This window comes from Homo sapiens, chromosome 11 (assembly GCF_000001405.40).
Source record: "Homo sapiens chromosome 11, GRCh38.p14 Primary Assembly".
Taxonomy (NCBI): Eukaryota; Metazoa; Chordata; class Mammalia; order Primates; family Hominidae; genus Homo; species Homo sapiens.
Window position 1 is genome coordinate 66,101,778 of NC_000011.10, and position 14,071 is coordinate 66,115,848.

General features: G+C 42.5%; 1 protein-coding gene across 3 annotated transcripts in view, besides 2 other annotated features; it reads left to right on the forward strand.

The window, feature by feature from the left end:
- PACS1 (phosphofurin acidic cluster sorting protein 1) overlaps positions 1-14,071 on the forward strand; it is a 174,473-nt gene that overhangs the window by 31,506 nt on the left and 128,896 nt on the right. The gene's annotated exons all lie outside the window — the stretch shown is intronic.
- Positions 5,183-6,026: an enhancer, noted in NCBI's record as "H3K27ac-H3K4me1 hESC enhancer chr11:65874431-65875274 (GRCh37/hg19 assembly coordinates)". NCBI's record gives its function as "activates a minimal SCP1, AML or CMV promoter by ChIP-STARR-seq in naive H9 embryonic stem cells {active_cell/tissue: H9 hESC(naive)}" and the evidence as "EXISTENCE:reporter gene assay evidence [ECO:0000049][PMID:30033119]".
- Positions 11,553-11,642: an enhancer, noted in NCBI's record as "active region_5034". NCBI's record gives its function as "activates an Ori minimal core promoter by ATAC-STARR-seq in GM12878 lymphoblastoid cells {active_cell/tissue: GM12878}" and the evidence as "EXISTENCE:reporter gene assay evidence [ECO:0000049][PMID:35858748]".

Consider the following 14,071-nt stretch of genomic DNA (forward strand, 5'->3'; position numbering starts at 1 on the left):
TAGGACTGGAGTTGATAGACAAAGCTATAAAGGGAGACGGTTACTGGGGGGAGAGCTCTGTCTCGCTTAGCATCACTTGCTGTTAGTGGTGGGCCCAGACAGTGACTGAAATATTTTCATTCCAGACCAGGGTCCAGTGTATTTATACTTGATGCATTAAGTTCTGATCTTTAAAAAGCTGCCAGTTTTTTAGAAGGAGAGTTTTTATTTTCATTTTATATGGTGTGGGCTGAAGGAATCTTTTGCTAAATATAACAATGTGAGTTTGCTAGTCTTTCTGAGGCATTGAAGGCATTTAAAATTTGAAACCAGAGCTACCTGATGGGAACATCCTTGATCTCTTCTCCAAGTCAAACCAACCTAGGCCACGTGTAATAATTAGTTCAATTGAATGGCTGAAGAAGGATTTATTTGCCCCTTTTATGTTACAGAGGAGATCCACAGTACAGCTAGAAAAGGGATGCAGAATGAACAGGACAGACACGTGATTCTGACCCTGATAACCACTCTGCATCCATCGGATTTACTATTATTATTATTATTATTATTATTTTATTTTTTATTTTGAGACGGGTCTCACTCTCTCACCCAGGCTGGAGGGCAGTGGTGCGATCTCGGCTCACTGCAACCTCCGCCTCCCAGGTTCAAGCGAGTCTCCTGTCTCAGCCTCCCAAGCAGCTGGGACTACAGGTGCATACCACCACGCCAGGCTAATTTTTCTGTTTTTAGTACAGAAGGGGTTTCACCATGTTGGCCAGGCTGGTCTGGGATTCCTGACCTCAAGTGATCTGTCTACCTTGGCCTCCTAAAATGCTGAGATTACAGGCCTGAATCACTGTGCCCAGCCAAGTTTACTATTATTATTAAAAATACTGGTGGCCTTGAAATCAGTGTAAAATAATAATGTCATCTTTTTAGGAATAAAAATACTGCTCTCCCCATGCCCCACTGGCTGTAGGAAAATTGAGGGAAATGGTTGTTATTTTCTCTTTGTAGGTTGGATTACTGAACCTCGGAGTGAGATGACCTGTGAGTTTTATTTATTTTTATTTATTTCATTTTATTTATTTTGGAGACAGATCTTACTCTGTGTCCCAGGCTGGAGTACAGTGGCACGATCTCAGCTCACTGCAACCTCCACCTCCCAGGTTCAAGCCATTCTCCTGCCTCAGCTTCCCGAGTAGCTGGGATTAAAGGCACGTGCCACCACGCCCAGCTAATTTTTGTATTTTTAGTAGAGAATGGGTTTTACCATGTTGGCCAGGCTGCTCTGGAACTCCTGACCTGAAGTGATCCATCTGCCTTGGCCTCTGAAAGTGCTGGGATTACAGGCATGAGCCACCAAGCCTGGCCAACCTGTGAGTTTTATATAAATGGCACAGTTGAAATGATAAACGTCCTTAAGATTTAATTTTGATTAGGGGAAGTGAGTGAAAGGTATTCCTCTTGTTGGTTTTCCCTGTATTCTGTTTGGTTTGGTCTTTTTTCAGATAAGTTCAACAGTGGGGTGTCAATTATATGTAAAGTACATGGAGAAAGCTGCAAGGATGTGGGTGGCTCAGGCCTGTCCTTAGAGAGCTCCCCATCTTGGTATCTACAGCTCACTGCAAGACAGAGCAGATTGAAATAAGTAACAACTAGAGTTACATGTGGGGTAATTTAGGAGAAAAGGGCATTAGTCCCTTTGGAATCTGGCATTTGACCTGGAATTTTTCTTTTCAGTTTTTTGTTTGGAATTTTTTTTTTTTTTTTTTTTTTTTTTTGAGGCGGAATCTGGGGCTGGAGTGCAGTGGCACAATCTCATCTCACTGCAGCCTCCACCTCCTGAGTTCAAGTGTTTCTCTTACCTCAGCCTCCCCAGTAGCTGGGATTACAGGTGTGCACCACCACGCCCAGCTGATTTTTGTATTTTTTTTAGTGGAGACGGGGTTTCACCATGTTGGCCAGGCTGGTCTCAAACTCTTGACTTCAAGTGATCCATCCGCTTCAGCCTCCCAAAGTGCTGGGATTACAGGCATGAGCCAGTGTGCCCAGCTGGAAAATTTTTTAAATATACAAAAATAGAGAAAGGTGTGTGATGAATCCCTGTGTACTCACCACCCTGCTTTATTATCAGCTCAGGGGCAGTGCTGTTTTATCTGTGCCCCCATCCCCTCCCCCCACTCCCACCCCCAGATTATCTTGAAGCAAATCCCAGTCATCATCACATTTCTTTTGTAATAATTTCAATATGTATCTTCAAAAGATAGGGACACTTTAAAAAATACATAACCACAATACCATTATCTCTCCTAAAATAATAGTAAGTCCTTAATTTTATCTGATTTGCAGTCACTTTAGTTGGAATTTACAAAGAGAAGATTTTAATAGATGGTGAATGGGAGGAAGGGAATTCAGATAGAGGGAATAACACATGGAAAATCAGGGACCGTGTGTAAGTGAAAGGTAATAAAAGTCTGATTTAGGGCTGTGGCATTGGGCGGAAAGGAAATTGCAAATGTCAGTCACGGCAGAGGTAAACTTAATGGAATTTTCCAGTTGAGGACAGCACGTGTGTCTTCCTTCTATTTCTGGTTAATAGTAGTCATTTTGAACCCTATAGAACAGGGTTGACAAACCATGGTTTGTAGCCCAAATCCTGTTCTCAGTCTGTGTTTGTAAATAAAGTTTTACTGGAATACAACCACACCCATTTGTTGATGTATTGTTGTGTATGGCTGCTTTCATGAACCCCACAATGGGCAGAGTCAAGCAGTTGCAGCAGAGACTCTATGAACTGTAAAACCCCAAATACTTACTACTATCTGGCCCTTTATAGAAAAAGTTTGCCAACCTCTGATCTAGAAGAAACTGGGCCCTGGATTTAGTGCTTGCTCTCAGAGGAGTTGAGTAGAGTATATGGATTAGAAACAGCCATGTCTTTGTGATATACAGGGGTATACAGGAGTCAGAAACAGTGGATTTTGTTTTGCTCTGTCTTTATCATTCATTTTATAGCCTGAGAAAGTAAGTCTAAGAATCTTTCTGCCTCTGTTTATTATTTGATTTTATATTGTGAACTAAGCTCTGTGAAATCAGAGGTTTTTGTCTTTTCCTCACTACTCTATTGGCAGGGCCTGGATCAGTGCCAGACATTTAGTAGGCATTCAGTAAGTAATTGTTGAATAAGTAAGCAAATATTTTAGTCTTTTTGCTTCTCTTCTGTATTACACACATTTGGAGTTTCTTGGGGGAACAAGGATGATATATTTGTAGGTGGCAATTATGTTACTATGTAAATCTGTTATAATTTTTCCCAAAAGTTCAGAAAATTGTTTCATTAGTACAATGGAGTATTAAGCAGCAGTTAAAACTAGTAATTATGGGCTGGGCACGGTGGCTCACTCCTGTAATCCCAACACTTTGGGAGGCCGAGGCGGGCAGATCACCTGAGGTAGGGAGTTTGAGATCAGCCTTACCAACATGGAGAAACCCCATCTCTACTAAAAATACAAAATTAGCCAGGCGAGGTGGTGCATGCCCATAATCCCAGCTACTCCAGAGGCTGAGGAGGGAAAATCGCTTGAACCGGGGAGGCAGAGGTTGCAGTGAGCTGAGACTGCGCCATTGCACTCCATCCTGGGCAACAAGAGTGAAACTCTGTTTCAAAACAAACAAACAAACTGGTAATTATGATAACTATAGAAATGAGGAGAAATGTTTATGGTAGGTCAAAATCGTAGGCACACTGCCTCCCTAAAATATGAATGAATATGGACAAAGACTGGAAGATAATGTGAAAATGAAATCATTTTAAGACAGTGGAATTTTTGGTGGTTTTTCTCTCCAAAATTTTCTTTAATACTATTGCTTACTCATCTTTTCAGAAATGATTTTAAATATGTATAAACTTTCCATGCCCTTCCCTGCACTATGTACAGAAATAGAATCTTTAATGTGGATCACAAATAACACAATAATCAGAAATTAGAGATGGTGTTGAATCTCAGCATTGGTAATGAGAATAGGCTTTATGGATAGATATTCCACTTTATCCTGAGATACACAGCTACAGTATACTTTCTGGGAGGAGTATGCCTATAAGCATCCTTGGCTGGAACCTGAATTGGGTTTACAAGCTTACATTTAGATAAAAGCCTTTTTATTTGAGATGAAACCCATACAGGCAGGGTAGAAAGGAGTGGCCTGGGTGAGAATGTCTAATGTTTGGGTTTTCTCAAAGCGTCATTCCTCCTTTCCTCTTATTCTGGCTAGCTTTTCCACAGTGTCATGTAAAGAGGCAGCATTTTCTAGAAGATGCAAGTCATTTGAAGTAGTCATTTGGTTTTCTTCTCATTTCACTTTCAGCCTGCCTTTAAAAATGTAGCTGAGGCCCACCGCTGTGGCTCACACCTGTAATCCCAGCACTTTGGGAGGCTGAGGCGGAAGGAGCACATGAGCCCAGGAGTTCAAGACCAACCTGGGCGACAGAGGGAGAACCTACAAAAAATGAAAAATAAAAAATACAAAAATGGCCGAGTGCAGTGGCTCACGCCTGTAATCGCAGCACTTTGGGAGGCTGAGGTGGGCAGATCACTTGAGGCCAGGAGTTCAAGACCAACCTGGCCAACATGGTGAAACCCCATTTCTACTAAAAATACAAAAATTAGCCGGGCGTGGTGACACGTACCTGTAATCCCAGCTACCTGGAAGGCTGAGACATGAGAATCACTTGAACCCGGGGAGGTTGCAGTGAGCTGAGATCGTGCCACTGCACTCCAGCCTGGGTGACAGAATGAGACTCCATCTCAAAAAATAAAAAAAAATATAAAAAAATTAGCCAGGCGTGGTGGTGCATGCCTGTAATCCCAGCTACTGGGTGGAGGTGAAGAGGTAGGCTGAGGTGGGAGGATCGCTTGAGCCCAAGAGGTTGAGGCTGCAGTAAGCCAGGATCACACCACTGCACTGCATGCAACCTGGATGACAAAGCGAGACCCTGTCTCAGAGAAAAAAAAAAAAGATAAATCTTGTCTTTGTACCTTAGTTTCTCCACATGCAAAACTGGTTCTTTATACCTTTCCGAAGGTTGTGTGGTGAGTTTGCTGCTAAATAGGTTTTTGTGTTTCTTCTACCAAACTACCTTTCCAGGATATCTACAGTTGGTGTTCAAGCCATTGCCTCTGGGCTTCATGTGAGCATTCTTGCCCCGGGCAGGAATTCTGCAGCACAAAACAAAGTACTAAAGATTTTACCCTTTGAGAAGCCTACTCCTTAAGGGAATATTACCTCCCAGGTTTAGCAGTTGGGAAGACATGAAGTACCTGTTCTCATTTCATTCAAATGCCATTCAGTGGTCTGTGAGTCTACATGAAATGACTCCCTGCGGACAGCACCCTCCCCCAGTCTGACCACCTACTACTTCCTCCCAGGTCACTCCCTTGCAGCCACGCAGGCTTCTTTGCTCTTTCCTGAAAATGTCAATTATGATCTGCCTTGGTCTCTGCACTGCCTCTGCCACATAGAGTCATGGTTCATTTTCACTCCTCCTCAAAGTGTTTGCTCATGTGTCATCCATCCCAGTGAGGCCTGTCCTGTGCTCCCCTCCCCCCACATTATTCCTGCTTCCCTTTCTCCATAGCACTTGTCAACTGCTAACACACTATATCCTTTTCCTGTATACTATGCTGATTGTTTACTGTCTCCCTGTTTCCAGGTAGAATGAAAGCTCCATGAGGGCCATGATTTGTACTGATTTTGTTCACTGTTCTATCCCCAGTGGTTAGATTAGGGTCAACCACATAGTAAGTGCTTGGTAAATATTTGTTGAATGAATGAAATGGCTGGGACACTGAGTTTCACCCTCTGCTTGGAATTCTTTTACTTATATGATTGTTACCACTATACCACGTTGGCCAGGGATGCTCTGTTCCCCCTTTAATGAACAAGGACAAAAACATCTTCTCTTGATTCTTTCTTAGCATAACTGAGATAGGCTGGAGAGTTCAAGGAAGTGTTTTGAGTACTAAGAACAATAGAGAAACCAGCATAGAGAATGCAACAAGTATTACAACAGTCTGGCTTAACAGTGTTTCACTCTTGGAGCTGCCATATCTAGCTTGTTCTCATATTTTGCAGGCCCCATCCTAATCTACCCACTTAGGAGAAATCTAATTCCAGCTTCATAGGACTAGTCCTGACCTTGCCTTGATGCCCTGCATGTGGCACCATCTCATAATCTGTTACTAAGGAGCTCCCTTTTGTACATCATGACAGCTGCCAACAAGGCCAAGAGAACCCAGCAAGGCTCATTTTCTAGTTTGAGTGTTGTGTTAGTCTGCATGGGCTACCATAACAAAATACCATAGAATGAGTGGCTTAAAAAGCAAACATTTTCTCACAGTTCTGGAGACTGGAAGTCCAAGATTAAGGTGCCAGTAGGGGTTGGTTTCTGGTGAGGCCTTTCTTCTTGGCTGCAGACGGGCACATTCTAGGTGTGTCTTCATGTGGCCTTTCCTCTGTGCACAGAGAGCATATGTAAGCCCTTGTGTCTTCCTTTAATAAGGATGCCAGCCCTATCAGATTAGGGCCCCACCCTTCTGACCTCATTTAACCATATTACATCCTTAGGGCACTATCTCCAAATGCAGTCACTTTAGGGATTAGGGCTCCAGTATAGGAATTTAGGGCCAGGTATGGCAGCCCACACCTGCAATCTCAGAGCTTTGAGAGGCCAAAGTGGGAGGATCGCTTGAGCCCAGGAGTTTGAAACCAGCCTGGGCATCATAGCAAGACCCCCTGTCTCTACAAAAGCTGGCAGCCTGAGTATTAAGATCTTATCTCTACAAAGAAAAAAAGAAAATTAACCAGACAGGGTGGTATGTACCTGTAGTCCAAGCTACTTGGGAGGCTGAAGTGGGAGGATCACTAGAGCCTGGGTAATTGAGGCTGCAGTGAGCCATGATTGTGCCACTGCACTCTAGCCTGAGTGACAGAGAGAGGCCTTGTCTCAAAAAGAAAGAGAGAAAGAGAGAAGAGAGAGAAAGAGAAAGAAAGAAAGAATGAATGAGTTAGCTGGGTGTGCTGATGTGTCTGTAGTCCTAGCTACTTGGGGCTGAGGTAGGAGAATTGCTTGAGCCCAAGAGTTCAGGGCTGCAATGAGCTATGTTTGTGCCACTGTACTCCAGCCTGGATGACAGAGCAGCAAGACCCTGTCTCTAAAAACAAAACAAAACTAAGAATTTTAGGATGACACAACTCAGTCCATAGCAAGTGATACCTCTTTGACTGGAACAAATAACCTTATGCTTCAGGTGCAATATCTCACACAGACACTATGGCCTTCGTTCACTTTTTAAACTAGCATTTATTGAAGACAAAACTATGTGCCAAGTTTTATGCCAGCTGCAGGGGATATCCCGTACCCTCCACCAGTAGAGGAGACAGAGCCAGTTTCAGAGAAGGGTGGTGAGTACCTGGGGATGGATGGATGTGTCAGGAAAAGTTTCATTGAGAAGGTCGCATATGGCCAGGCGTGGTGGCTCACGCATGTAATCCCAGTACTTTGAGAGGCTGAGGTGGATCACTTGAGCCAAGGAGTTTGAGACCAGCATGGGCAACATAGTGAGACCCCATCTCTATTTTAACAAAAAGTAAAAGAAAAAGAGAAGGTCGCATATGGTCTTTCAGGTCTGTGAAGAAGTGTGTGCATAGTTTACCACACAACAGCATATGAGTCATGTCACCATCATTATTGTCATCACCCATCTTTATAGTAACAAGAAGGTAGTTCCTTCACACTCTAACCTAAGCCCTTTTTCTTCATCTTCACCTGGCTTTGGTTCTTTTGCTACAGTTACTCCAGCCTCTCTCCCCAGCCTTTATCTTCCACATTTTCTGCTGTGTTGTTTCAACAGCCAGTGACTTTTCTGTTCATACTCTATTGATGATGAAGTAAAAATTGATTTTGATTTGTTTCTGATTTCTTTTCCTTAGTAAGTTTGAGTTGAACCTTTAGTTCTCTCTCCTCATCTCCTCGCTTTCTACAAAGGCAATTCCTGGTGTTAAGTGAAAGCTGTTCCTGTTAGAGCCTACTGTTTGCCATTAATAAGTGATAAGGGAGGTTGTCAGCCAGCATTAATACTCTGTTTATGAAATTACAGTTACTGATGCAGTATTTTGTGAAGTTCTTAAGATATAAACGGCACAAGTGATTTGATAAGTTATAGCTCCAGAGACTTCCTTACATAGTATGCCAGTATTTCTTTTTCCCCTCTCAACGGGACACACATAACATTAAATTAAGTTTGTCTTGGTTGCCATTTACTTTAAACGGATCTGGTGCCTGTGCTCAGATATGTTTATGAGAGTATAATTGACTTCTCTGAAAGCATTGAGATTGAGGGAGTAGTTATATCTTACCTTAGTCTCATTGATGATTCATGGAATTGAAATAATTAAAAAGTACTTATTACATGCCTGATTGCTTCATGACCCTTTGATAAACTACCAACACTCATATCAAATGTCTCCTGATTTAAAAAAAAAAATTTTTTTTATACATATATAGACAAGTTCTCACTGTGTCACCGAGGCTGGAGTATGGTGGCTTTCACAGGCATGATCATAGCTCACTGCAGCCTCGCCCTCCTGGGCTCAAGGGATCCTCCTGCCTCAGCTTCTCGAGTAGCTGGGACCACAGGCACCTGCGTCTAGCTAAATGCCTCTTGATTTTAATGGCATGTCTTGTCTTCATAGCATATTCCACAAAAAACTCTAAAGTCTGATAGAAATGATCCTTCTCTTTCCTGTAGTTTTTTTTTGTTTGTTTTGTTTTGAGAAAGGGTCTCACTCTGGTTGCCCAGGCCGGAGTGCAGTGATGCGATCTCGGCTCACTACTACAGCCTCTGCCTCCTGGGTTCAAGTGATCCTCCCACCTCCTGAGTACCTGAGACTCCAGGTGTGCACCACCATGCCCAGCTAATTTTTGTATTTTAGTAGAGACGGGGTTTTGCCATGTTGGCCAGGCTGGTCATGAACTCCTGACCTCAAGTGATCCTCCCGCCTCAGCCTCCCAAGGTGCTGGCGTTACAGGCATGAGCCGTAGCACCCAGCCAACATTTTACTCTTTATACGTGTGTTCAGCTACAAAACTTTCTTCCCTACCAACCCTCCCAAGTCTAAGTAAAATTGATCTCGGAGTCACTTGACCTATTTATCTGGTATTATCCTGGTACGCTGCTAGAGGTATATATACAGGGTCATGTGTCACTTAAGGATGAGAATGTGTTCTGAGAAACATGTCATCATTGAGTGTACTTACACAAACCCAGATGGCATAGCCCACTACGCACCTAGGCTGTGTGGTATGGCCTGTTGCTCCTAAGCTACAAACCTGTACAGCACTGATTCAACTTTAGGCAATTGTAACACAGTGGTATTTGTGGATCTAAACATAGAAAAGGTACAGTAAAAATACAGTATAAAAAATGTTGCATCTGTATAGAACAACTCCATTATAATCTTATGGGACCCCTGTTGTATATGTGGTTTATTGTTGACTGCATGTTGTTCTGCGGTGCATGACTGTACTAGTTTTAAAAGCAGAACTGTCTCTATAATCCACTTCTTAGCTTCAGGTACTATTTCCTAATATCAGACACGTGGCACTGACTTTTCTTCTTAACTCCAGACTTATGTATCCAAGTGCCTATTTGACATCTGCATTTGGATATTGGATCAGCATCACAAATTTAATACAAGGACCTAACTCTTGATTCTCTCCACAACGCCAAACCTGTTTTTCCTCTAATTGTCCCCACCTCAGTCAACTATATTATCCACCTAGCTGCCTAAGCCAGAAACCTAGGAATTATCCCAGATTATTATTCTTTTTTTTGTTTTGTTTTGTTTTTTGTTTTTGACTCACTCACTCTGCTCAGGCTGGAGTGCAGTAGCGTGATCTCTGCTCACTGCAACCTCCACCTCCCGGGTTCAAGTGATTCTCCTGCCTCAGCCTCCCTAGGTGCTGGGATCACAGGCATGCGCCACCACGCCCAGCTAATTTTTGTATTATAGAGATGGGGTTTCACCATGTTGGCCAGGCTGGTCTTGAACTCCTGGCCTCAAGTGATCCGCCTGCCTTGGCCTCTCAAAGTGCTGGAATTACAGGTGTGAGCCACTGCACCCAGCTCAGATTCTTCTTTATAATGCCTGCCTCATGTAGTCCCTCAGCAGGAGCTATTGATTCTGAACCCTTCCCATCCCCCGTGGTTCCCTTGCTCTCCTGTCGTTCACACCACCCTGTCTCACCTGCATCACGCAGTAGCCACCAGACTGATCTGTTTCACTGCCTGTGCAGTTCTTCTCTACACTGCCGGCAGAGTGGTCTCTTTGAAATGCAGATCTGATTGTTGCACTCACCTGCCTAATCCCCTCCAGTAAAACCCAGACTTCTTCTCCTGGCCTACAAGATCCTGTTTGGCTTGGCCTCTGCCTGCTCTCCAGCCTGTTTCTTACCCTCTTCGCCTAGTTTGCTGCATGCCTGCCACATGGCCTGCCTTCTGCTGCTGCTTGGATAGGAGAGGCTCAGTCTCTCCTTAGGGCCTTTGTGCTTGCAGTTCTTGGAAATGCTTGGATGTCAGAAGGTTACATGGCTGTCCCGTTGGTGTCATTCAGGTCTCACTCAGCGCAGACAGGCCTTCCCTCGCTGCGCAGTTAGTCACATGCCTCTCGTTGCTTTCTTAATATTTTACTTTAAACTTTTTTTCTATTACATACCTTATCCGACATGATTTTGTTTGTGTGTTTTACAGGAGAGGGGTTATATCTGTCTCGTTCATGACTGAGTTCTCAGTGCCTGAACAGTTCCTGACATCCAGTAGACCCTTTATATCTATTTGTTGAATAAGTGACTGCTTTTCCCGTTGTGCATGGGCCAGTGCCAGGGGTCGAGTTGTAGTGAACTGAGAGTACATGGACAGTGCTGAATGGGGAAATGAAAGTTATCAAAAGCCTCTGGTGCCTTGCTTATTCATAGCAGATTTGTTCATAATAACAAAAGCTGGAAAGAACCCAAATGCCCATCAACACATGAATGAATAAACTGTGGCTATGATTTGGCTATAAAAAGAATGATACATGGTGGAATATGGATGAATCTTGAAAGCATTATGCTGCATGAAAGGAAGCCTTACACAGAAGAGCACATACTTAGGATTCCATTGATATGAAATTCTAGGAAGGGCATTTAATTTATAGTAAGAGAAAAGTGGCTAACCAGAACCCAGGATGGGAGAGGGTTGACTGGGATGGAACACAGAACTTTTAGGGTAATGGAAATGTTCTGTATCTTAAATATGGTGGTGATTACACAGGTATAAATTTGTCAGAACTTATCAAAATGTACAATTAAATCAGTCCACTTTATTGTATATAAACTATTTCTCAAAGTTGAACTGGTGTCTGACATTTAAATGTACTTTGGATTTCTTTTGTTTACCTACCCACTTCTTGGGCAGATGACTTTTCTTTTAATTTCCAGTTCTCCTAGCTACCTGCTGACTCATCCCAGACGTACTTACATTCCTGTTTCTGAATCAGTTCCAACATCCTTTGGGTCTCTTGTCCTCAATCTCTAGTTGGCAAAACATCTTTCTAATTGCAGGGTTATTGGTTATCTTCAGATATGCTATTGGAACTTACTTACCATCAAGGCTAGTTGGGTCTCCACCTCAAAGACTAAGTATCTCCAAACAGATACTTTTACAACGTAACAAGCAAGGAAAAAAAATGTTTGCAGCACATGTAGTTTGACAAGAAGACATAAGAGTATATTTTAAACTCTCAGTTCCTTTCGGTATGATGACTTGTATACTTTGATCAGACTTCCTCTTCAGAAGTTGTAGTCTTTATGTTTAGGATTCCTCCTGTTCCTGTTAATACAGCAGCTGAACTGAAAGCTGTATAGAGATTTGATGAATAGTTGACTGTCTCGTGATCAAACTCTTGCTCTGACATTAATATACTTTATTTAGTATCAAGTCTAATTTTCATCTTTTATTTTTCCTCCCTTTAGTTCACAGAATCACCCAGTCCTTTCTTCCTTTATTAATACATTATTTTGCAAGTGATATATGACCACAGCCTCATAAAGTACTCAAGCAAACACATAGGGTATGATGTGAAAGTGCCACTGAAGCTCTTTTGCATCTCTCCACCTCCCCAGACAAAAATACGATTAAGAGTTCGGCAGACATTCTTCCAGATCTTTTCCTAAGCATTGACATAGGACATGTGTACAGATACATAGACATTGTTTACGTAAGCAGAATCACTATGAGTTGTTCAGCTTGTTTTTTTTTCACATAAAAACGTATCTTGGGGGCTGGGTGCGGTGTCTCACGCCTGTAATCCCAGCACTTTGGGAGGCCGAGGCGGGCGGATCACAAGGTCAAGAGATCGAGACCATCCTGGCTAACACGGTGAAACCCCGTCTCTACTAAAAATACAAAAAATTAGCCGGGAGTAGTGGCGGACGCCTATAGTCACAGCTACTCGGGAGGCTGAGGCAGGGAAATGGCATGAACCCAGGAGGCAGAGGTTGCAGTGAGCTGAGATCCCACCACTGCACTCCAGCCTGGGCGACAGAGCAAGACTCCGCCTCAAAAAAAAAAAAAAAAGTACCTTGGGGATTTTTCTGTTTTTGTACTTACAGGCCTATCTCATACTTTTTAATGGCTGCTTAGTATGCCATAGAATAGAGAAAACACAGTTTATTTAACTAATCCTACTAAATGGACATTTATTTCTAATTTTCACTCTAATAGTCAAAAAATGAATTTAGAAAATGCAAATAATTTGTGTTTTTAGGGTCTTTCATTTCTTATTTAGTTATATAATTATTCTAGCTTTTAAAAAAGCTTATTAGGGTGGGAAGTGCCTCACTGATACTGTAATGTTAGAACTACACTGAAAACTTTGTTTCAGAAGAAAAAGTTGAATGTAAGTTCTCTGTGACTGCGGACTTCATTAGCATTGTGTCTTCAGGGCTTTCTTTTTAGGTATGATTATAAACCAAAAGCACTATAAGTGGTTACATAATTTTCTTACAGTTTGTATACCTCATTCAAAAGAAGCATACATCTCTAAGGATTAGAACTAGAACCATAAGCCAGGTGTGGTGGCTCACACTTGTAATCCCAGCACTTTAGTAGGCTGAGGTGGGAGGATCATTTGCACCCAGGAGTCAGAGACCAGCCTGGGTAACATAGGGAGACCCCATCTCTACAAAAAAAAAATACAAAAATTAGCCGGGCATGCTGGCTCATGGCTGTGGTCCCAGCTACTTGGGAGGCTGCGGTGGGAGGATTGCTTGAGCCTGGGAGGTCAAGGCTGCAGTGAGCTGTGATTGTGCCACTGCACTCCAGCCCAGGTAATAGAGCGAGACCCTATCTCAAAAAAAAAAAAAAAAAAAAACTAGAACAGTGACCTTTGGTTGTAACATGATCAGCAGTTGGTTATAATGAGTGCTTTAAATTAATGTTTTCCCATGGAGCTGGAGCCAAGCATTTGTGAAAAATGTTTTTTCTCTCTCCCTTTTTCAGTTTGAAATCCTGCTAATACACTAATTTCTGTGGAACTTTCTACCAGCCTCTACTGGTGACCAGCAGTTGCTGGTTTATTAGCACTCAAAATATTTAAAACAAGCAAGAAACCTGTCTTTCCATCTCCTTGCCCTGTATATGGAGATGCACAAATATGGAAAATTCTGATGTTTAAGCAGAATTAGTTATATTTCAGGTAGATGGATTTGAATCTTTCAAAACCCCACATGAGGTAAGTATATTTCTTCAGCCCTGCTTTTCAGCAAATAGTGGGACTGCAGAGCAGGCTGACATTTGTCTTAGCTACCCAAGAAGGACCAAAATTGCCTTCCTGTTAGGTTTTGCCTGCATGTTTAGTTATGAGACAGCCTGAGACCCTGTTTTTCTTTCGTATTAGCTGACCTCGGTATTAACCTCACCTTCCCTCCTCCCCTTCTTTTTTTGGTTTCTGGTTTTCCTTTTCAATTTGTTACAAGTACGCTTAAAGCACG